At 44.5% G+C, this 24,821-nt stretch overlaps 1 protein-coding gene and 1 pseudogene across 1 annotated transcript, besides 3 other annotated features; one reads left to right on the top strand and one right to left on the bottom strand.

Moving 5' to 3' along the window:
• On the top strand, positions 5,414 to 5,709 carry RN7SL208P (RNA, 7SL, cytoplasmic 208, pseudogene; annotated as a pseudogene).
• On the bottom strand, positions 7,294 to 23,579 carry F2RL1 (F2R like trypsin receptor 1). Its single transcript, NM_005242.6, has 2 exons — positions 23,345 to 23,579; positions 7,294 to 9,919 (listed from the first exon to the last, which is right to left on the bottom strand). The coding sequence occupies exons 1-2, from the start codon at positions 23,424 to 23,426 to the stop codon at positions 8,808 to 8,810; spliced, it is 1,194 nt and encodes a 397-aa protein (NP_005233.4). The 5' UTR covers positions 23,427 to 23,579; the 3' UTR covers positions 7,294 to 8,807.
• Positions 22,628 to 23,245: an enhancer, noted in NCBI's record as "H3K27ac-H3K4me1 hESC enhancer chr5:76115189-76115806 (GRCh37/hg19 assembly coordinates)". NCBI's record gives its function as "activates a minimal SCP1, AML or CMV promoter by ChIP-STARR-seq in naive H9 embryonic stem cells {active_cell/tissue: H9 hESC(naive)}" and the evidence as "EXISTENCE:reporter gene assay evidence [ECO:0000049][PMID:30033119]".
• Positions 23,246 to 23,863: an enhancer, noted in NCBI's record as "NANOG-H3K27ac hESC enhancer chr5:76114571-76115188 (GRCh37/hg19 assembly coordinates)". NCBI's record gives its function as "activates a minimal SCP1, AML or CMV promoter by ChIP-STARR-seq in naive H9 embryonic stem cells {active_cell/tissue: H9 hESC(naive)}" and the evidence as "EXISTENCE:reporter gene assay evidence [ECO:0000049][PMID:30033119]".
• Positions 23,551 to 23,845: a silencer, noted in NCBI's record as "tiled region #11984; K562 Repressive DNase matched - State 4:PromP". NCBI's record gives its function as "represses a minimal TATA promoter and a strong SV40 promoter by Sharpr-MPRA in K562 cells {active_cell/tissue: K562}" and the evidence as "EXISTENCE:reporter gene assay evidence [ECO:0000049][PMID:27701403]".

The raw sequence follows: 24,821 nt of genomic DNA, 5'->3' as shown, positions 1-24,821 counted from the left end.
GGTTCAAGCGATTCTCCTGCCTCAGCCTCTTGAGTAGCTGGGATTACAGGTGCACACCACCACGCCCAGCTAATTTTTGTATTTTTAGTAGAGACGGGCTTTCACCATGTTGATCAGGCAGGTCTTGAACTCCTGACCTCGTGATCCGCCTGCCTTGGCCTCCCAAAGTGCTGGGATTAAAGGCGTGAGCCACCGCGCCCGGCCACCAGTGATTTTTTAAATGGGCAGTAAAACAAACCTATGGCATCCCATGTAGAAAGAAAATCAAGCTCCTTACTCCCTTACAGTTCCCTTCAGTTATCAAGCTCTTGCCTCTCTCCAGCCTACTTGCTCATACTCTTCCTTCCCTTACTCATTCCCATAAAGCCCTTGCTTGGGATCCTCCCATGGCTGGCTCTCCTGCCCTTTACATTGCCACTTAAATTTCACCTCCTTAGAAACCTTCCCTGATCTCCCAATATAAAATACTCTTAGCATTTACTACTATTGGATATTTTGTTTTGTTTTCAGTCTTTCTCCAATCAGAAAGTAAACTCCATGAGAATAGAGTTCTTGTCTATTTTGTTCTCCACAATATTCCTTACTGCCTAGAAGATGACTTGGCACATAGTGCGTGGTGGAAGAATATTGAATTAACAAGTATGTACAGATTTCCACTCAAATATTATTTATATAGCAATATAAGTATAGCATAAGCTGGATTCCATAAATTATGGTATATGTGCACATGGAGATAGCCATTTAAAATAATGAGGTCAATCTGTAAATGCTAACATGGCAATCATATCCAAGATGTGTTCACGTATATAATGCAGAAACCAGCCTCCCATGTAATCCCCAGTGATCCTCGCCTCCTGGTGTTTATGCTAGGTAGTCTTCTCCCAGATTGAATTGGAGCTAGCTTGTCTGACCAAGCAATTGGAGCTAGCATGGTGGAGGTGATGGTGTGTGACCTCTGAAGCTAAGTAATGAAAGGCATTGTGGCTTTCCCCTTGTTCTCATGGATCACTCATTTTGGGGAACACCAATCTTCATGTTATGAGGTCAGTCCAACAGCCCTGTGAAGAGGCCCACGTGGAGGGGAACTGAAGCTTTCTGCCACCAACATGCCAGCCCTGTGGAGGATCCTCCAGCCCCCGTCACATCTTCAGCTAGCAGCAGCTCCAGCCAGTATCTTACCTGGTACCTCATGAGATCCTAAGCCAGAACCATTGGGCTAAACTGCTCCTGAATTCATAACCCACAGAAACTGTGAAAGTTAGTAAATGTTTATGACTGTCTTAAGACACTAAATTTTGAGGTAATTTATGTGTAATTTAACTAATACATGGTGTAACTCCTTTTATTTTTAAAAAGCATGTATACATGTTTATACATGCATAAAAACATCTCAAAGAATATACAGAGGGCGTATAAACGGGTTCCCATGTGGTGGGTAGGGAGGGTGTTCATTTCTCATTATATACTTATACTCTCAGATTTACTTATTTATTTTAGCTACTCAATAGGTATGGGTTTTTTAATTTGCATTTTTCTAATGACTAAGGCTAAGCATCTTTTATGTTTCAATATGCCTATTTGCCATCTATTCTATTCTATTCAGTTCTTCTTCTTTTTATTTATTTTTCATTTTTTAGAGATGAGGTCTCACTATGTTCCTCAGGGTGGGGTGTAGTAGCTACTCACTAGTGTGATCATGGCTTCGTGGCTCACTGCAGCCTTGAACTGCTGGGCTCAAGCAATGGTGTAAACAAAGCAGTGGTTAGGGGGGTAAGCCATAGTAGTGGCCCTTCTGGAAACTTCTTGTCCTTCACATTTACTTTGACTTTCTGCCTGTCTCAGGATCTAGCTCTGGAATAAGCTATGCTTTAAAGGCTTTTGAGAAGCCCATATACTGGAGGGTTAGGTTTCTGGGGTTTGTGTTTTTTTTTTAAATATTGATGTATTCCACTGAGAGAACATCAACCCCTCAACTGGATAGCTGTTAAGGTGGAAATCCTAATTTAATTATTTGCATTTAATAATGCAGTAATGTTGCAATGAATGTTTGTGGAATTGTGAACCCTGAATATTTGAGACAGGTCTCAGTTAATTTAGAAAGTTTATTTTGCTAAGGTTGAGGACACATGCCCGTGACACAGCCTCTGGAGGTCCTGACGACATGTGCCCAAGGTGGTGTGAAAGGAAAATATCTTGGGCCCCCAAAATCACTGCGCTAAAAGTTAAAAGTCAAACTGGAAACTGCACAGGGCGAACCTGCCTCCCGTTCTATTCAAAGTCAACCTCCACTCACTGAGATAAATGCATATCTGATTGCCTTCTTTGGAAAGGAAGAAACTCAAAAGAATGCAAGAGAGTTTGTCTCTCACCTATCTGTGACCTGGAAGTCCCTTCCCTGCTTTTCTGGTCTTTGCTTCAAGTTATCCCGCCTTTCCAGACCAAACCAATGTACATTTTACATATATTGATGTTTCATGTCTCCCTAAAATGTGTAAAACCAAGCTGTGCCCTGATCACCTTGGGCACATGTCGTCAGAATTTCCTGAGGCAGTGTCACAGGCATGCGTCAACCTTGGCAAAATAAACTTTCTAAATTAACTGAGAACTGTCTCAAATGTTTAGGGTTCACAGTGCTCAGAGCAGTTTGGTTTTACACATTTTAGAGACACATGAGACATCAATCAACGTATGTAAGATGAACATTGGTTCGGTCTGGAAAGGCAGGACAACTTGAAGCGGGGAGGGGGCTTCCAGGTCATAGGTAGATGAGAGACAAACAGTTGCATTCTTTCGAGTTTCTGATTAGCCTCTAGAAAGGAGGCAATCAGATATGCTTTTTTTTTTTTTTTTTTTTTTTTGAGATGGAGTCTTGCTCTGTCACCCAGGCTGGAGTACAGTGGCGCAATCTCAGCTCACTGCAACTTCCGCCTCCTGGGTTCAAGCGATGTTCCTGCCTCAGCCTCCCAAGTAGCTGGGACTACAGGCACCCAGCAGCATGCCCGGCTAATTTTTTTTGTATTTTTAGTAGAGACGGAGTTTCACCTTGTTGGCCAGGCTGGTCTCGAACTCCTGACCAGGATGGTCTCGATCTCTTGACCTCGTGATCCGCCCACCTCGGCCTGCCAAAATGCTGGGATTACAGGTATGAGCCACCGCACCCGGCCCAGATATGCATTTGTCTCAGTGAGCAGAGGGGTAACTTTGAATAGGAGAGGCAGGTTTGCCCTAAGCGGTTCCCAGCTTGACTTTTCCCATTAGCTTAGTGATTTTGGGGCCACAGGATTTATTTTCCTTTCACAGGATGAAGGATTGAACCACTCACACTGCTGCTGGGTTCTTGATGGGCCCGCAGGCTTGGGCTGTGGTTTTTACCGGAGGTTGTCTGTAACTCTGGTCAGGCTTAATTTCTCACCAATAAAGACAAAGGCTGGGAAACAGTCCATAGATTGACCCACTGGTAGAGGCAAGAGCAGTTCATACTCAAATCACGGAATATTTCAAACTGTCCCTCCAGAGAGGCATTCCAAGGTTGGTCTGAGTCACTCTAATTGTTGACATTTAAGTGGGACAATCATCTCAGTGAAGTTCCAAGGCTTGAATAAAATGTAGGGCTAGATCCCTGATCACTAAGGGCTTGGTTTTTGTCTTCAGAACTGGGGGTCAGGAAAGGACTGGCCACATCAGAAACTTCTTTTTGAGAAGACATCTAAACACCCAAGCAAAAACTTATCATTTTAATCAAGATCCGGAGGACAGCAAGTACTACCTTTGATTCTGCAATAAATTATAGTCCTCTCAGGGGCCTCCAAAGGGTTAATGTTTCAGGAACAAAGTTGTAATCACTAAACTATGCATACTGATGAGATTATAGCCCTAAAGTTTATGAAACCTTGATAACCAGGAAATTAATTACAGGTTTGAAACTCCTGCTGCAAACCACTGAGGTGACACGTTAGGAAAAAGCCCATAAAACAACTCCAGCCGAGTCAGTTTAGCACTGGCCTTTGTCCTGAGCATCAGGACTGCAAATCTTCGTTCACTTTCAAATTAAGAGGCCTCACTGTTAGTACATAAGCCTGTGGAGTTCAAAGTATTTACATTTTCAGACATTTTAGGACTCAGTTTAGAGAAATTAGACCACAGTATGACATATAACACAAGAGCAAAGACAACCACATCCAAGGTACTACTCCGCTAGGGCCAGAGTTCCTCATGCTTCCAATCAGGAGCCTAATTCAGATAGACCAGGGGGTTTTCTAAGCCACTTTTCAAAGGCAGAACAAAACGATTTGAAAAGCTTTTGCTGGGCCAGGCGCGGTGGCTCTCACCTGTAATCCCAGTACTTTGGGAGGCCAAGGTGGGTGGATCACCTGAGGTTAGGAGATCGAGACCAGCCTGGCCAACCTGGTGAAACCCCGTCTCTACTAAAAATACAAAAAATTAGCCAGGCATGGTGGCGGGCGCCTGTAATCCCAGCTACTCAGGAGGCTGAGGCAGGAGAATCACTTGAACCTGGAAGGCAGAGGTTGCGATGAGCTGAGATCACACCACTGCACTTCCAGCCTGGATGACAGAGCGAGACTCCATCTCAAAAAAAAAATAAGCTTTTGCTTTAGCAAATAATTTTAATTTCTCAAATCATTTCTTTTATACTTTTTTGTTTAGTTTTTTTTTTTTTTTTTGAGACAGAGTCTTGCTCTATCGCACAGGCTGGAGTGCAGTGTCCCGATCTTGGCTCACTGCAAGCTCCACTTCCCAGGTTCATGCCATTCTCCTGCCTCAGCCTCCCAAGTAGCTGGAACTACAGGCGCCCGCCACCACGCCCAGCTAATTTTTTGTATTTTTAGTAGAGACAGGGTTTCACCATGTTAGCCAAGATGGTCTCAGTCTCCTGACCTCGTGATCCGCCCGCCTCGGCCTCCCAAAGTGCTGGGATTACAGGCGTGAGCCACCGCGCCTGGTTCTTTTGTACTTTTTAATGTAGATTCAAAGGCTTGGTGAAAATAAACCAAGAAAAATATCTGTTCTTTAATAGGTACTTCTGACTAAATGTTGGGTCATTCATACATGAAATACTACCTGGTCATTAAAAATAATGAGAAACAGGCAGGGCACAGTGACTCATGCCTGTAATCACAGCATTTTGAGAGGCTGAGGAGGGAGGATCTCTGGAGTTCAACAGTTTGAGACCAGCCTGGGTAACATAGCAAGACCCTGTCTCTACCAAAAAAAAAATAAAAATAAATTAATGAGAAACAGTGAATGAGTTAAAAAAATTATGAGGACAATTTATATAAACTGATTTAGAAGTTAAAGTATATATGTATGTACACACATTCATACACATTTATTCTTAAAGTATAGCCACAAAAAAGAGATTTGCATAGTTACAAAAAGAAAAAAAAAGACTATAGCCAGGAGTGTTGGCATGTTCCTGTAGGCCCGAGCTAATACGGAGGCTGAAGCAGGAGGATGACTTGAATCCAGGAGTGTGAGGCTGTAGTGGGCTATGCTGATCATTGTCTGCACTAAGTTCAGCATTAATATGGTAACCTCCAAGGAGAAGGGGACCACCAGGTTGCCTAAGAAGGGGTGAACCAGCCCAGGAGGGAAATGCAGCAGGAAAAACTCCCATAGTGATCAGTAGTGGAATCACACGTGGAAATAGCCACTGCACTCCAGCCTGGGTAATAGACCGACACCCTGTCCACCCCCCACCAGAAAAAAAAAAAAAAAAAAAAAAAACCAAGAAATGACAAACACCAAAAAAATGTTCTCCACTGAGGTGGAGGTCAGCTACAGATGGCCTTCGGGGCTCTGTGAGCCATTTGTTCCTGCTCCCTTTTATCCTGTTCCCACCATTTTCTCATTTCTCACCTGACAAACGGGGACAACTTCACAGGCCTGCAATCAGACTCAAAGCAGAACAGGCAAAGAAAGCAGTGACACTGAAGTGAAAGGGGGCAGAGCAGAAAACAGGTCTTGTCCACAGAGCATAATAATAATATTATTTAATATTTGTGACCACATAAACGTGCCAAATAATTTTATTCTCATAACTTTATGAGGAAGATACTATTATCCTAATTTTACAAGTGAGGAAACTGAGATACTACTATCCCCATTTGACAAATGAGTCGCATTTTTTTTCTTACTTCTTGAGGTAATAAAAACATCCCTAATGTAAGCAGTGATGGAGTCAGAATTCAGCACAGCCCAGGACCTGCACTCTTAGCCACCAGGCTGTGCTGCTTCTTCAGTAAAACAACAATAAGATTGGGAAACCAAAGATTGATAGCATGGAATGTGGATGAGCATTTCAGGAAACAGGTGCAAATATACCATTTTGGTAGAAATATACATTACTGAAGACAATTTGGCAAGACTTATCAAAACCTAAAATGAGCATCTAACTTTTGAGCTGGCCATTCTACTTCTAGAAACTTATCCTCAAAAAATATGCTCACAGATGTCTGTATACAGATATTTGATACAGCACTTTTTTTTTTTTTTGTAGAAAACAAAAATGGAATATTTATGCGCAACTCAAAAGAAACACTACGCATATAAGGTAAGAGATTAAATATAAACACGGCAAGTTCCATCCCATTCCTATTTCTCCAAGGCTGCATGACCAAATGGAATCTTGAAGAGAACACCTAGATAACAGAGGACCTGTCAGCGACTCTGGACTTCTGGGTGCAGCACTGTTTTAAAAGTCAAAAAAAGAAGGGTGGGGGGATGACAACCTAAGGAGCCGTTGGTAGGGAATTAATTAAATACATCACAATATACCCAAAATGTTAAATAGCCTGTATCCTTGAAAAGCGGTCAACCTACAGATGCAGGTATAGAAAGAATTCTAAAACTTTTTTTTTTTTTTTGAGACGGAGTTTCGCTCCTGTTGCCCAGGCTGGAGTGCAATGGCGCAATCTCGGCTCACCGTAACCTCCACCTCCCGGGTTCACGCGATTCTCCTGCCTCAGCCTCCCGAGTAGCTGGGATTACAGGCGTCTGCCACCACGCCCAGCTAATTTTCGTATTTTTAATAGAGACAGGCTCTTGCCATGTTGGCCAGGCTGGTCTTGAACTCCTGACCTCGGGTGATCCACCCACCTTGGCCTCCCAAAGTGCTGGGATTACACACGTGTGCCACTGTGCCCGGCCTCTGAAACATTTTTAAATGAAAAACCGTTGTCACAGAGTTTGGTGTGAGTGTCCACTTTTAGAGGGGTGAAGCTGTTGCCTGCCTTCTCTCACTCCTTCCCTCAAAACAAACGCACAACTCAGAAATAAGTTGTAAAAAAAATTTTGTTATTTATAAATCAATTACACAATAAAATAATTATTTTTAAAAGTCACAAATACAATCGTTGTATAAAGTCATTTTGGCATCAAGTATCTCTTAAATATGTTGCAAACTATTTTCCAAAGAGATGTGGTCCAAACCCTCTGAAGGCTTTATAATTTTGTATTAGATAACAAGTGAACAAAACTGACAATAAATACTCCAACAATTATTTTTTAAAATACTAAGTGGCAAATGCTATTCTAAGTGGCAAAACAATCTATTACTCAGACTACCTGAAAATTTCACTGAAGTCATCAAAAGTTATACAAAATTTGTATTTACATGTTTAAAATCCTGATTGCATTTTTCTTTAATAATAATACATACAAAAACTCAGAGGGTTAATAAAGAAATAATTCAAAGTCCTAATAAGTCAACAAACAGATTTCATTATAAGCTGAACATAAAAGAGACACCATTGTTTGCTTCTCTTTTCAAAAATTATCACGGCACTTTGTCAAATGGAAGCAGCATTCAGAACAATGGTTCTCAAATCTCTGTGTGCATAAACACCATGCAGGTTTGTACCACACAGATTCCTGGGCCCTGTTCCCAGTCTGAGCTCTCATTATTGAATCTGAGGAATCTGCATTTTGAACAAGATTCACGACTATTTTATTTTATTTTATCACCCAAGCTGGAGTGCAGTGGTGCAATCTCGGCTCACTGCAACCTCTGCCTCCTGAGTTAAAGTGATACTCAATTCTTGTGCCTCAGCCTCCTGAGTAACTGGGATTACAAACGTGCACCACACACCTGGTTAACTTTTGTATTTTTAGTAGAGATGAGGTTTCGCCATGATGGCCAGGCTGGTCTCGAACTCCTGACCTCAAGTGATTGCCTGCCTCAGCCTCCCAAAGTGCTAGGATTACAGGCATGAGGCACCGCACCCAGCCAAGATCCATGATTTTGATGAAGTGGTACAAGAACCTCACTCACTGGACATTGAAATTCTACTGTCCAATCCCAACTCACTGCTGTTGATTGGAAACCTGATTCTGGCAGCTCATTTATCTTGGTTTCCTCATTTGTAAGGTCGTTCAGTTGGACTGATCATCTCTGAGGGCCTTGAAGCCCTAACAAGTCTATCATGATCCCAGATGTAAAATATATATATGTGTATATATATAATTTCAGCTGAGAAGTGAGTCTTCACACCAAGTCTACTTTTTGCAAGTTACTGGGTTTCTGTCTTCACCATCTTCTGAAAAGTCTGCTTCTGTTGGTTCAGTTTCTGGGGTCATCTGAGTAGAGAGATTCTGAAACAGACACTGATGTTAATTTGGGGGACTACTTTTCTCATGCAAACAGGGGAGCTCCTAGCAATCCTGAGAGGTGCTGCATCCACATGGTATGTGGTGAGACCTTTTTGATTAGGAAATAACAGACACGTCCTCATAACATTAAACAGGTTCCACATCCTACTGTGCAATTCCCATCTGAGGACCTGGAAAACTCAATAGGAGGTCTTAACAGTGGTTGAACTTGAAGAGTAAGAGCTGGATTTCCTGGAGTGTTTCTTTGAGGTGAGGGATACTTGCATCTGCTTTACAGTGCGGACACTTCGGCAAAGGAGAGCGTTCTTTGCATGATCCCTGAAATCATGTGAAACAAAGTAATAGACAAAGGGGTCGATGCAGCTGTTAAGGGTAGAGAGGCAGAGGGCTACAATGTACAGGGCATAGACATGGCTCTGGCCCTGGCTCTTAATCAGAAAATAATGCACCACAAGCAGAAGGTTACTAGGAGTGAAGCAGATCAGGTACATGGCCAGGACAGTGACAATGAGTTTGATGGCCCTCTTCCTTTTCTTCTCTGAGTTTTCATCCATGGCAGAAGATCGCAGCATTCTGATCATCAGCACATAGGCAGAGGCTGTGAGGAAGGCTGGGAACAGAAAGACCCCAATGGCCAGAGAGAGGAAGTAATTGAACATGTCTCCCACCAAGAGCTGCTCAGGCAAAACATCATGACAGGTCGTGATGTTCAGGGCAGGAATGAAGATGGTCTGCTTCACGACATACAAAGGAATGGTGACCAGCAGAATCAGCAGCCATATTGCCAGGGAGATGCCAATGGCAATGTTTGCCTTCTTCCTGGAGTGCCCCATGGGGTTCACGATGACCCAATACCTCTGCACACTGAGGCAGGTCATGAAGAGAATGGAACAGTACATGTTGCCATAGAAAAAGCCAATAAGCACATTACAAAGAGCTTCCCCATAAATCCAGTTGTTGCCATGTATGTGATAGGCAATCTTCAAGGGGAACCAGATGACAGAGAGGAGGTCAGCCAAGGCCAGATTGGCCATGTAAATCACAGCAGGGTGCTTCTTCTTAGTTCGGAAAAGAAAGACCCACAGGGCCATGCCGTTACTTGGCAAACCCACCACAAACACAATTGTGTAGACAATTGGAAGGAAGACAGTGGTCAGTTTTCCAGTGAGGACAGATGCAGAAAACTCATCCACAGAAAAGACTGTTTCAACTGTAACTCCTTTTCCAGTGACGTGGGATGTGCCATCAACCTTACCAATAAGGCTTCTTCCTTTAGAGGATCTACTGGTTCCTGTACAAGAAAGGAAGACAAGGGTCATTACAGAAATAAATGTTTCAGCAGTAACACTGGTTTGTTCAAATGAAAGTACATTCATTTATTCATTTTTTAATTTATGAGACAGGGTCTCGCTGTCACCCAGGCTGGAGCGTAGTGGAGCGATCATAATGCACCGCAGCCTCAAACTTTTGGGCTCAAGCAATCCTCCTAAACAGCCAGGCCACAGGCACACACCATCACACCCAGCTAATTTTTTACTTTTTGTAGAGATAGGATCTCACTATGTTGCCCAGGCTGTTCTCAAACTCCTGGCCTTAAGATTCTCCTGCCTCAGCCTCCCAAAGTGGTGAGATACAAGTGTGAGCCACTGAGCCCAGCCTCAAATGAAAGTACTTTAGATGAAAACAGAAATGTACTATTAGAGGATTACACAAAATGCTTATAGGGGCTTTTCTTTGTGTAATGAGATTATTGGGATTTCTATTGTCTGGTTTAGTTTGGTTTTATGGGTTTTTTTCTTACAGTGAGTATTTTTGTATCGGGGAGTTGTAAGGAGTTGTGGGATGCATGTGGAGCATCGATTTCTAGGAATATAAAGAAGACTAACAATATTTCAATTTATTTTTACAAACTGTCCACACTCATTAGTCCCCAGCTATTCTTTTTATTTTACTTATTATTTTTTTTTTTTTTAGAGATGGGGTCTTGCTATGTTGACTAAGCTGGTCTCGAACTCCTGGCTTCAAGTGATCCTCCCATCTTGGCCTCCCAAAGTGCTGGAATTACAGGTGTGAGACATCACGCCCAGCTCTAGCTATTCTTATCACATGACCAACAACAGTCCTTTGATTTATCAATTAGTAAAATTTGGTTTGGCTGGGCATGGTGGCTCATGCGTGTAATCTCAGCACTTTGGGAGGCTAAGGCAGGTGGATCACCTGAGGTCAGGAGTTTCAGACCAGCCTGGCTAACATGGCGAAACCCTGACTCTGTTAAAAATACAAAAATTAGCCAGGCGCAGGCGCCTGTAATCCCAGCTACTTGGGAGGCTGAGGCAGAAGAATCGCTTGAACCCCGGAAGTGGAGGTTGCAGTGATCCAAGATCATGCCACTGCACTTCAGCCTGGGTGACAGAGCGAGCCTCAGTCAAAAAAAAAAAAAAAAAATCAGTTTAGGAATGTGCAGTAATTCCTTTCTAAATTCTCAAGTGTGTAAAATAGCGATCCCCATCCTGACACCAGTTTTCTAATTTCTCACTTCATAATGGCCTTCTATCCCACTCTAGCCCTGAGCCAGGATCCTTCCTGGCCTATTCAATTCATCATACCCTATTCAGAGCTTGCCACAGGGAGATTCCAGGACCACAAGGGACATTCCCTTTTCACCCACAACGATAGCCTCAACAATGGCAGGGATTTTCCCTGCTCATGTGCTGGTTTCCTGGAGAATGTCCCATGGAGGCCAACTGGCAGGGAAACCGTCTGGCCTGGATAGGTGGCTGTACTGATGACAGACTTTCAAGCATGTAGCATGACAAGCTAACTTATTATCCCTCTCTTATATTATGAAGTTGACCTAAAAACCACAAAGAAATGAATGGCATGTCCTCCCTACATTCTGCCCCTAAGTATTCATGAACCTGCAGGAGTAAGTAAGGACAATATAAGGATACTGAATAATTTTACTCTAATTCTGGGGAAAAGTAGGCCTCACCAAGCAGAGAAGACAGGGCAATACTTGCACTGCCGTATACCAGGGGGATATTAAACCTACTCATGCTCTTATCTCATAATGTTATGCTTGGTCATCATTTTTCCACTAGAAGCTTTACACTAATGTTCCGCAGAATTTTTCACATCTTAATGCTTCCCTATTTGGGATGCTAGCCTGGGTGGAGTGTTGGGGGATGTAGAGATCAATATTTCACTTTTCACTTAGTGTAGTGGGTTGAAAGGTGGTGCCCCCAAAAGAGAAGTCTATGTCCTAATCGCCAGACTCTGTGAACATTATTTAGCAAAAATGTCTTTGCAGATAGAATTAAGGATCCTAAGATAAGAAGATCTCCCTGGGTTATCTAGGCGGGCCCTAAATCCAATGACAAGTGTCGTTTCTAAGATAAAGGCAGAGGCCTGGCGTGGTGTCTCACGCCTGTAATCCCAGCACTTTGGGAGGCTGAGGTGGGTGGATCACGAGGTCAGAAGTTCAAGACAAGCCTGGCCAACATAGTGAAACCCTGTCTCTACTAAAAATACAAAAATTAGCCGGGCGTGGTGGCAGGCGCCTGTAGTTCTAGCTACTTGGGAGGCTGAGGCAGGAGAATTGCTTGAACCTGGGAGGCGGAGGTTGCAGTGAGCCAAGATTGCGCCACTGCACTCCAGCCTGGGCGACAGAGTTAAAGTCTGTATCAAACAACAAAACAGAGAGAAAAGCAGAAAGAGATCTGCAACACGCAGAAAAGGAGAAGCCAGAGGAGTGAGTGACATGAGAATGGAGGCAGAGATTGGAGTCACATCAAGGAACAGGCCAAGAATGCCAAGAAATGCCAGCAGCCACTGCAAGCTGGAAAAGGCAAGGAATGGACTCTCCCTTAGAGCTTTTGGAGGGCTTGTGGCCCCAATTCCTTGATTTCAGACTTCTGGTCTCCAGAACTGACAGAATAAATGTGTTGTTTTACATCATCAGTTTATGGCAATTTGCTATGGTAGCCACAAGAAACTAATATGCTTAGGATAGTCCTATTTCTAGTGGTTCTATTTTTTTTATATAATTCTTCAAAAAGAACATATGTTGTTTTTAAATTTAAAAAAAATTCCTACATATTACAGTGTTCTTCAAATATTTGACCATAACCCCTAAGAACCATATTCCACATACTAACCCAGTTCCCAATACACATATCCATGGTGGAAAAACGTTTCACAAAATAATAATTATTCTTATTACATAGGGTGCACTGATACTTTCTATTGTATTCTATTCCATTATTATAAAAAGCCAGTTATTATTCTTTAACACTGATTTCACAGGCCACTTAACTTAGAATGACAATGTATGTAACAATTAGAAAGTAACATACTGGAAATTAATTTGGTGTTGGATTCAGTGCTTGATTAGTGTTATAGACTGAGCAACTGGTGCAGTTATTGTGGAAATTATCCAACACCAAATTAATGGAAATGAAGGGGGCAAAGTGTTAAACAACACCACAAATGTAGTCAGTAAAATTGAGACTCTGGGAACTGCTACAGGATAAAGGACCTGTTTTTTACAAAATATAAATTATAAGGCAAAAAATAAGAAAGAGGGCCAGGCACAGTGCCTCATGCCTTCAATACCCAGCACTTTGAGAGGCCAAAGCAGGAGGATTGATTGAGACCAGGAGTTCAAGACCAGCCAGGGCAACATAGCACAATGCCATCTCTTCAAAAAAAAAAAAAAGAAGAAGAAGAAGAACAAAGGTAAAAAAAAGGTGTGGAGGTGAAATTTATAGAGTAGAAGATTTAAAAGACATATCAGTCATATAATGTGTGTACCTTGTTTCAATCCTGATTCAAACAAACCATAAAAATAACTTGTTTTTTTTTTTGAGATGGAGTCTTACTCTGTCGCCCAGGCTGGAGTGCAGTGGTGCGATCTTGGTTCACTGCAACCTCCGTCTCCCAGGTTCAAGCAATTCTCCTGCCTCAGCTTCCCAAGGAGCTGGGATTACAGGTGCACACCACTACATCCAGCTAATTTTTGTATTTTTAGTAGAGATGGGGTTTCACCATGTTGGTCAAGCTGGTCTCGAACTCCTGATCTCAAGTGATCTGCCCACCTGAGCCTCCCAAAGTGCTGGAATTACAGGCATGAGCCACTGCACCCGGCCTAAAATAACATTTATAAGACAATTAGAAATTTGAACACAAAGCCAGGCACGGTTGTTCATGCCTATAATCCCAGTGCTTTGCGAGGCTGACGTGGAAGGATTGCTCGAGGCCAAGAGTTTGAGACCAGCCTGGCCAACATAGCAAGACCGTGTCTCTACAAAAAATTAAAAAAAAAAAAAATTAGCCAGGCATGGTGGCGCACACCTGTAGTCCTGGATACTTGGAAAGTTGAAACAGGAAGATCACTTGAGACCAGGAGTTCAATGATTCAGTGAGATTGTGCCACTGCACTCCACTCTGGGTGACAGAGTGAGGCCCCTGTCTCTATATTAAAAAAAAAAAAAAAAGAAAGAAATTTGAATACTGACTGAATATTTGATTATATTAAAAATTAATGTTAGTAGATACTATAATGGCATTATGTTTATATTTGAAAAAGAAATCCCTCATACTTTATTAATACATTCTAAAATACTTTAGGATGAAATTATATCTGAGATTTATTTCACAACCACAGGAATTGAAACTCTCAGACACTGCTGGTAGGAATACGAACTGGTGCACGGCTGGGCAGAGTAGCTCACACCTCTAATCCCAGCACTATTGGAGGCCGAGGTGGGTGGATCACCTGAGGTCAGGAGTTCGAGACCAGCCTGGCCAACATGGTGAAACCCCATCTCTACTAAAAATACAAAAATTAGTCAGGTGTGGTGGCATACACCTATAATCCCAGCAACTTGGGAGGGTGAGACAGGAGAATCATTTGAACCGGGAGGCACAGGTTGCAATGAGCCAAGATCACGCCATTGCACTCCAGCCTGGGCGACAGAGTGAAACCATGTCTATTTAAAATAAATAAAATAAAATAAAATAAAAGGTACAGTTATTGTGGGAAATTATCTGGCAGTTCCTCAAATGGTTAAAGAGTTCCTATATGGCTGGACGCAGTGGCTCACGCCTGTAATCCCAGCAATTTGGGAGGCTGAGGCAGGCAGATCACGAGGTCGGGGTTTTGAGCCCACCTGGCTAACATGGTGAAACCCCATCTCTATTAAAAATACAAAAATTAGCTGGGTGTGGTGGCACACGCCTATAGTCCCAGCTACTCGGGAAGCTGAGACAGGAGAATCATTTGAACTTGGGAGGCGGAGGTTGCAGTGAGCCTAGACTGTGCCATTGCACTCTGGGCAACAGAGCATGACTCCGTCTCAAAAAAAAAAAAAAAAAAAAAAGTTACTATATGACCCAGTAGCTCCACTCCCAGGTATGCAGGAGTCCACACAAAAACCTGTACACAAATGTTCATAGCAGCATTATTTGTTTTTGTTTTTTTTTTGAGACGGAGTCTCGCTGTCGCCCAGGCTGGAGTGCAGTGGCGCGATCTCGGCTCACCGCAAGCTCCGCCTCCCGGGTTCATGCCATTCTCCTGCCTCAGCCTCCCCAGTAGCTGGGACTACAGGCGCCTGCCACCACGCCTGGCTAATTTTTTTTTTTTTTTTTTTTTTTTGTATTTTTAGTAGAGATGGGGTTTCACAGTGTTAGCCAGGATGGTCTCGATCTCCTGACCTTGTGATCCGCCCACCTCGGCCTCCCAAAGTGCTGGGATTACAGGCGTGAGCCACCACGCCCAGCCATAGCAGCATTATAATATAGCACTGTGCCCAGCCCACAGTCAACAAGTGGGCTGGGCACAGTGGTGCTCACCTGTAATCCTATCACTTTGGGAGGATGAGATGGGAGAAGTGCTTGAGGCCAGGAATTTGAGACAAGCCTGGGCAACAGAGCAGAACCCCATCTCTACAAACATTTTACAAAATTAGCCAGGCATAGTGGTGCACACTTGTAGTCCCACTACTAGGAAGGCTGAGGCAGGAGGACAGCTTGAACCTAGGAGGTCAGAGATTACACCACTGCACTCCAGCCTGGGCAACAGAGCAGGACCCTGTCTCAAAAAAAGGAAAAAAAAGTGGAAACAATCCAAATGTCCATCAACAATTGAAAAGAAATAAAAAGCAGTATATCCATACAATGGAATATTATTTGGCTGTTTTCAAAAATCAAGTACTTGGGAGGCTGAGGCAGGCAGATCACCTGAGGTCAGGAGCTCAAGACCAGCCTGGCCAACATGGTGAAACCCAGTCTCTACTAAAAATACAAAAATTAGCCAGAGGTGGTGGTGTGGGCCCACAGTCCCAACTACTCAGGAGGCTGAGGCAGGAGAATCACTTGAAACTAGAGGCAAAGGTTGCAGAGATTGCACCACTGCACTCCAGCCTGGGTGACAGAGCAAGACTCTGTCTCAAAAAAAAAAAAAAGTACTGATACATAGATACATGGATGAATCTCCAAAAGATTATGCTAAGTGAAAGAAGCCAGTCACAGAGGACAACACATTATCCCATTTCTATCAAATGTCTACAATAGGCAAATCCATAAATAGAAAGTAGATTAGTGTTTGCCAAGGGCTAAGACCAGAAGATTGGTGAATGACAGCTAAACTGTTTCTTCCAGGGTAATAAAAATGTTCTAAAATTGTGGTAATGGTTGAATAATTCTATGAACATCCTAAAAGCCACTAAATTGTACAGTTTAAAGGGGTGAATTGTATGGTGTGCAAATTATCTGATATGGAATTCTTGGTAAAGCTGTTAAAAAAAAAACACAGGCTTGGCATCATAGGAAAGGGAAAAAAACAGAAAAGAAATAACAGGGAAGAGGAGTGGGAGGTGAGTTTGGGAATAGATGAAACAAGATTAGCCAACAGTTAATAATTATTGAAGTTGAGTGGTGGATACACTTAATTCACTATAATAGTATATTTCTATAAGATTAAAATTCTCCATAAAAATAAGCATGTACCAAGTCAGGAAAGCTCACATAAAGAGTGCTCAAAATCTGTTTTAAATAAGAATGCTAAAATAAAGACCAAAAAAGGAGCAAGGAATGGCAATATAACAATTTTTTTTTAAAAAGGAACTTTTTCTTAGAATATTTCAACACATAACCTTTAATGGTCTCCATCAAAACTATTGTTGATATTAACTGTTCTATAACACTGGTAAATGTCAAGATGCTACTCGAAGGTCCCTGAAGCCCTTGCCCAGTGCATTTGCTCTGACTCTGTACAGGGTCCTTACCACTCACCAAAACTCACAGAGCTTGTCTAGAGAACCGATGCTATCCCAGCTCCCAATTGTCAACCAGGTAAAATCATTTCTATTTCACAGAGTTGAGGAGAGACTAAATGCACAAATGAAGTTTAAACACAAATAAAGTGCCTGGCTACAATTACATTCCCATTTCTAGGGCTGTAATAAACAATTATTGCCCAAGTGTGTGAAAATACACACTCACAGATGCTCAAGGCAGCATCCCCCCACTCAGTTACAGACAAACAGCTCCTTATTTCTATTCCTAACTTAGCATGTCCCTGACGTAGTCCCTACTACTAAGGGTAGACAATATAGTAGCCAATAATATTGAAATGGAAAGACAGCCACAATATACAGTCAATTGAAAAAAGAAACTGGCCAGGCATGGTGGCTCACACCTGTAATCCCAGCACTTTGGGAGGCCGAGGCGGGTGGATCCTGAGATCAAGAGATCGAGACCATCCTGACCAACATGGTGAAACCCAATCTCTACTAAAAAATACAAAAATTAGCTAAGTGTAGTGCACGCGCCTGTAGTCCCAGCTACTCCAGAGGCTGAGGCAGGAGAATCGCTTGAACCCAGAAGGCAGAGGTTGCAGTGAGCCGAGATCATGCCACTGCACTTCAGCCTGGCAACAGAGTGAGACTCTGTCTCAAAAAAAAAAAAAAAAAAAAATTATAATGTACAATTTGCAAAATCTGAAGTCTAGAAGGATATCCACCAAACAATAAAAAGTGGCTGGCTCTGTGGAGTAGAATAGCTGGGGACAAGAGAACTTTTCTTTTTATTTTACACCTCTCTATATTATTTGAATTTTGTATCTCAAAGGAATATAAATTGATATAATATTTTTGGTGGGTAATTTGGCAAAACATATCAAAATTTTAAATGTATTTGCCATATGACCTAGCAATTTACTTCTAGGAATTTGCCCTGCACCTACCAGCTAAAGTGCACAAAGCTATTTTATGTACTAGAATATTCACTGGAACATTGTTTAGCATGGTAAAACAATGTTAATTTCAACATCTATCAAAAAGGGGAGTAGTTCAGGCCCTGGCAGGGTGGCTCACGCCTGTAAACCCAGCACTTTGGGAGGCTAAGGCGGGCGGATCATGAGATCGGGAGTTTGAGATCAGCGTGGCCAACATGGTGAAACCCCGTCTCTACTAAAAATACAAAAATTAGCTGGGTGTGGTGGCGGGCACCTGTAATCCCAGCTACTTGGGAGGCTGAACCTGGGAGGCTTGAACCTGGGAGGCGGAGGTTGCAGTGAGCTGAGATCACACCACTGCACTCCAGCCTGGGTGACAGAGCAAGACTTCATCTGGGGTTCGGGGATGGGCGGGAAGAGGGGAGTAGTTCAGGCCAGGCATAGTGGCAACCTAGCCATAGCCCCAGCTACTTGGGAGCTCCGTCTAAAAAAAAAATTAGCTGGGGGTGAGCTATGATCCTGCCACTGCACTCCAGCTTGGGTGACAGCCAGACCCAGTCTCTTTAAAAAAAAAAGGGGGGGGGGGTGTGGTGGGGAGGACTAGTTCAATTACCCCCCTATAAAAGTTTGTACAGGGTCGGCGCAGTGGCTCACGCCTGTAATCCCAGCACTTTGGGAGGCCGAGGCAGGTGGGTCACGAGGTCAGGAGACCGAGACCATCCTGGCTAACACGGTTAAACCCTGTCTCTACTAAAAATACAAAAAATTAGCCGGGCATGGTGGCGGGCGTCTGTAGTCCCAGCTGCTTGGGAGGCTGTGGCAGGAGAATGGCATGAACCCGGGAGGCAGAGCTTACAGCGAGCTGAGATAGCGCCCCTTCACTCCAGCCTGGGCGACACGGCAAGACTCCGTCTCAAAAAAAAAAAAAAAAAGTTTGTACAGATTTCTATAAACTGACTATGAATCGATTAGGTAAAAAAGATAAATAAATCATAGCACAGTATGTACAGTACGGTATGCTCCTTCTATTCCTATAAATCATTTGTGCATAGAGAAGTTGAGCTGATGGCCAGGAATAGTGACTCACACCTATAATCCCAGCACTTTGGGAGGCCAAGGCGGGCGGATCACTTGAGGTCAGGAATTCAAGACCAGCCTGGCCAACATGGCAAAATTCTGGCTTTACTAAAAATGCAAAAATTAGCTGGAGGTGTTGGCGCGCATCTGTAATCCCATCTACTTGAGAGGCTGAGGCAGGAGAATCACTTCAACCTGGAAAGCGCAGGTTGCAGTGAGCTGAGATCACATCACTGCACTCCAGCCCTCCAGCCTGGGCGACACAGCGAGACTCCATCTCAAAAAAAAAAAAAAAAAACCAACCAACCAAACAAACAAAACCCGAGAAGTTGTGCTGAGATTGGAGACCAGAAAGAATGAGAGATTTTCACTTTTTTTTAGACCCTTCTGATTTACACAATTTTGGGAAAATCTGCGTGTAAAACTTTTTTTTTTTTTTGAGACTGAGTCTCACTCTGTTGCCCCGGCTGGAGTGCAGAGGCACGATCTCGGCTCACTGCAAGCTCGACCTCCCGGGTTCACGCCATTCTCCTGCCTCAGCCTCCCAAGCAGCTGGGACTACAGGCGCCCGCCACCATGCCCGGCTAATTTTTTGTATTTTTAGTAGAGACAGGGTTTCACCATGTTAGCCAGGATGGTCTTGATCTCCTGACCTTGTGATCCACCCGCCTTGACTTCCAAAGTGCTGGGATTACAGGCGTGAGCCACCACGCTTGGCCTAAAACTTTTAATTTAATTTTTATTTTAAGTATACTCCTCTTGTGGCCCAACCTCCCCATCAAACCAAGTGTAAAACAAGCACTTTACTTGCATTAGTTCTCTTCCTTTCACCCTCTCTTCTCTATGATCCCCTCACCCCAAATGTCCTTTTTTGCTCCCAATCTTTGGGAGCACAGACTGAAAAATAAAGGTTTCAATTGTGGGGTGCCCCTCCCTAGCTAAACTTTTAGTACATTTTCAGAAGTGTTCTTTCAGAATGAACTGTTTTCTTCAACACTTGCCAAGCTAATAAAACCATAAGAAAGTCAAATACAGATTTACTAAAACATCATCTATCAAGGTTATTTAGTAACTACAAAGCAAGCAAAAGGATCAAATTTAAAGTCCTATCTTCCAGTTCATTGCAGTGTTCTGTCATATTACAAAACTTTGGCCAGGCACGGTGGCTCATGCCTATAATCCCAGCACTTTGGGAGGCTGAGGCAGGTGGATCACTTGAGGTCAGGAGTTCAAGATCAGCCTGGCCAACGTGGCGAAACCCCGTTTATACCAAAAACACAAAAATTAGTTGGATGTGGTGGTGTGCGCCTGTAGTCCCAGCTACTCCAGAGGCTGAGGCATGAGAATCACTTAAACCTGGGAGGCAGAGGTTGCAGTGAGCCGAGATCGTGCCACTGCACTACAGCCTGGGCAACAGAGTGAGATTCTATCTCAGGGGGAAAAAAAAAATGGAAATACCACATGTCTATCAACAAAGGACTAATTTTAAAATTGATGCATCCTTCTGTAACATTTTGGAGTCATTAAAAATGTTTTATATGTATTGACATGATACTGATGTGCTTATATAATCCCATACTTGCACAAACATATTTTCTGTATTTGTGAATACATATTTTGTGCATGGATGTAATAAAGAGTGGGAAAATATATAAGCCGAAATATTAGCGGTGGCTACTTTGGTACTGAAGTTCAGGGTGATTTAATTAAATGTTTCCTTTTTTTGTTTTGGCTCATTTTTCCCTCGAGTGATCACATATTGTTTTTATAATTTAAAAAACAATTATAGGTAGGGCGCAGTAGCTCATGCCTGTAATCCCAGCACTTTGGGAGGCTGAAGGTGGGTGGATCACCTGAGGTCAGGAGTTTGAGATCAGCCTGACCAATATGGTGAAACCCTGTCTCTACTAAAAATACAAAAATTAGCTGGGGGTGGTGGTGCGTGCCTGTCGTCCCAGCTACTCGGGAGGCTGCAGCAGGAGACTTCCTTGAGCCCGGGAGAGGTGGAGGTTGCAATGAGCCAAAATTGCACCACTGCACTCAAGCCTGGGCAACCGAATGAGAGTCAAAAAAAAAAAAAACCCAAAAAACCAAAAAAACAAAAAAAAACCACCAAACCAATTATAAAGAAAACAGAAGTTCCAGTCTCCAAAAGATAAATGGAATGACCTAGGCCTGTAACATGGTGGAAAAAAATAAGTAAGTGGCAGAGAGAAGCTGACTGAAATGAACACCACATGGACCAGCCAGGGTACTCTGGGCAAGACTCCTCACTTCATTCATTTGCTATTTACTGAGGTCCCGTAGGTGATGAGACTATGCTAGACGTGATGGAAAGGATGGTAGGGCCCCCTGCCTCCAGGAGTTAACGATGCAGTGAGGACACATATTAAGCATGTTTACCCAAATAATTATCAATTACTATTGTAAAGGGAAAGAGAAGCCCTGATTTCCAAGTGTTTTCCTTGCCTTGCCTCCTCAATTCAGTGTCCTTCACCTGTACCCTGAGAAGGTTGTGATCTCGGCTGAGTTCGTTTCTATGAGGCAGTCTTTTGGAGTGAGGCTTTGGGAAGAAAATCAAACCCCAAATCGGCCCTGCAGCCACCTGAGGGGCACGCAGAAGGACCGGCTAAAAAGCGAGTGAGCAAAGACCCACCCTGAGGGCAGAAAAGCTTTGCTAACACTGTATTTCTTATTAAAATCAATTTAGTTTTAAGGTGGGAGGAAAGCTCCATCTGCCTAAATCAATTGTCAGTGTTACTTCACTAACCCTTTGGGAAAGTTACTTTGCAAGGGAATAAAAGTATGGTGGGGGGAGGATGAGGAACAAGGTGCAATATTAAGTGGCTATAGTTAACAAGTAACCTGATTTTTCCTTATTGTTAAATCAAGTTCGCCTTATAATCCAGGGATCTCCCAATCCCCCAAGAGTAGTAAACAAGAACAAGACAAATAATCGGGGCATGCTTCCTACAGGGATCTCTGAATCATAAAGATGTTGAATCAGCTATACCAACATGTATTTTTTTAAAGTTTGCACATACTAACCTTTGCTCCTGAATTTTAAGTTTCCAACTTTAAAGGACATAGAGGAGAGGTGTCCATTACAGTTTTCAATACTTCCTGGAACTAAATGCCTTTATTCTGATGCTGATTAAGAAAAAAAAATATACCAGCGGTGCACAGTTTTCAAGCTTACACCATTAACACCCTTTTCCCTAACTGCAGAGGGAAAAGAATCACATTCTTCCATCTAATTCCAACCCACTGTGACTTGCTCTTTTACTTCGTCTTTATGAAGAGGAGGATAAAAGTGAGAAATGCGCATTTCTGAGGGAAATTAAAAGCTCCCTTTGCTACCCAGGCTGCCCCAAACAGAGGGGCCTCGGTTAGGATCACAGTGGCGCGATCGCAGGTCAAACATCCCCCACGGCCACAGCGAGGCCTGCTGGGCCCGGAAGAACACACTCCCAGCAATACAAGTTCGAGCACACCCGGAGCAGCACATCCAAGGAACGCGACGGCCGGGCGCAAGTGCTGCTCTGTTCCCAGGCCAGCCAGCCTCTGGCCTGCAGACCTGGGTGGCAGCCAGTGGCCGCTCCGGGTGGCACACTAGGAAAGTCCCGGAACCCCAGGCCCAGAGGGTCAACTGGTCAAATATAAGGCAGGGTCCAAAAAGTTCCGCTCGTAAATCCTCGTGGCGCCCAACGGGCCTGAGCGCTCATTACCACCAGAACCCATCAGGGACCGGCCCTGACTTTCATACCCCGGGCCTTCCACTGTGGGTGCCAGGAGCAGCGGGACCCGGGTGGGTCTCGAACGCAGGGGCCAGAACCCGAAGAAAGGCTTCCAGCAGTTGGAGAGGGACGCAAAAAACAACCTAGAAGGCTCCCGGGCCGCGGGTTCCCACCCACTCCGCCCTGCCCTGCGCAATCAGCTCGCTAACCCCACCGGCCCCGCGGGGCCAGCGGAGGAAGTCTCCGGAGTTGGCAAAAAGCTCTTAATGACTTAGTGTTTACAAAGCAACCAAGCCCGGGGAGGGGACTAGGTCCTCTGCGTACCCTTTAGACACAGCTACTCCTTCCTTCCCTCCCTTTCCCCGAACCCACGCTGGGGCCTGGAGGTGCCCAGCATGACAGCCTCTACGGGAAGTGGGGTCTTTGGGGAAATCTCTGCCTCTGCCCGGCTCCGCTGACTTCAGCTGCTCCCGCATGTCCCACCTGGGTGCCTCCTTGGCGCAGAGACCTCACATCAAAGCCACCAAGGGGAGGCTAAGGGATTCGTAGAGATGGGTGCCGGCAGCAGAACAGCCTTCGCACACCTGCCCGGATCCCACCGTCTGCCCAGCGTGCCCAGGACCCCAGCTCCTCAGAGATAAGAGCCCTCCTTGGCCAGGTTTCTCACCTTGGATGGTGCCACTGCAGGAGAGAGAGGCTGCTAGCAGGATGGCGGCCCCCAGCAGCCACGCCGCGCTGGGGCTCCGCATCCTCCTGGAAGCCCCGACGCCGGGCGCGCGGGGAATCCGCCGCCGCCGATTCGAAACTCAGAGCTCCACTGGACGCACCGAGAGAAAGTCAGCCTCTCACCTGCCCCGAATCGGAGCCTCTGCTGCGCGCCTCCCCAGGGCGGGTTAGGTTTCAGGGAAACCGAAGGAGCAGCGTACTCACCTGCGGGAGGCCACGCCCCGGGACCGGAACGCGCGCCCTGGTCCCGCCCCCGGCCCCCTTCCCTGCGCAGCTGCGCCCTCCGCTTCCCGGACTCGCGCCAGGTCCCTTAGACTGCGGGAGCCGCCTGCGGGCGGGGTTGAGCGCATGAGGTGTCTGCTTTGGAATGCAAATAGCAGGAGCGCTGGGACCACGGGTTAATCCCTGCCTAGGCTATACCGCGAACTACCTTTAATCTTTACTTACTCCTAGAGAAGCGGGTCGTCGGTCTCCCTTGCCTTTCCTGACTGTGGGAAAGCCACGATTCGTACTCACTGCAATTGTGGTTGGTAACTGATACAGACAGGGCTTCCCGGTGCGGTGGACCCTGCAGGAGGAGGGATGCGTTTTTTATTGTAGAGGCAGGTGGGCAACTGCGGACATCACGAAAGCGGTGGGGAGCACAAGAGGCGGGGCGGGAAAGAAGACATGGAATGGCTACTTTCAGCGCCAAGTGCCAAAGCTTTAGAGAATTATCTTGCTTAATCCCCATAACAACCAGCGCAATAAGTATGATTATTCTTCCCATTTTACAGACGAGGAAAGTGAGCTTAGAAAGACCAGATAAATTGGCCAGAGTTACACGACTTATAAACACAGTGTATAAATGTTTATCACATTTCAACTCCAGTATAAGACTATCACTGTCTTCTATTCATCGCTGCACTATAAATGCGTCCACCAGGGCTCCTCTGCATTGGGATCCCATAGGCTAAATAAATACAAAAGCAGATAGAAGGGGTGGGAGAAGAGAAGTGTGGGGTTGGGGATGAGTGCATGAGGGTTGGCATCATATTGGTAATGTCTTACTTTTTGTTTTTGAGACGGAGTCTCGCTCTGTCTCCCAGGCTGGAGTGCAGTGGCGTGATCTCGGCTCACTGCAAACTTTGTCTCCTGGGTTCAAGCAATTCTCTGGCCGCAGCCTCCCGAGTAGCTGGAGTTACAGGCGTGCACCACATCTGGCTAATTTTTGTATTTTTAGTAGAGGCGGGGTTTCACCATGTTGGTCTGGCTAGTCTCGAACTCCTGACCTCGTGATCAGCCCACCTCCGCCTCCCAAAGTGCTGCGATTACAGGCGTGAGCCACCGCACCCAGCATGTCTTACTTTTTATTTGCTTTTTAAAAGATTGAATAAAACAAAGTCTACTGTTACCCATTTAAACTATTGGTACCAGAA

This window comes from Homo sapiens, chromosome 5, assembly GCF_000001405.40.
Source record: "Homo sapiens chromosome 5, GRCh38.p14 Primary Assembly".
Classification (NCBI taxonomy): Eukaryota; Metazoa; Chordata; class Mammalia; order Primates; family Hominidae; genus Homo; species Homo sapiens.
This window is presented reverse-complemented; position numbering and strand designations above follow the sequence as displayed.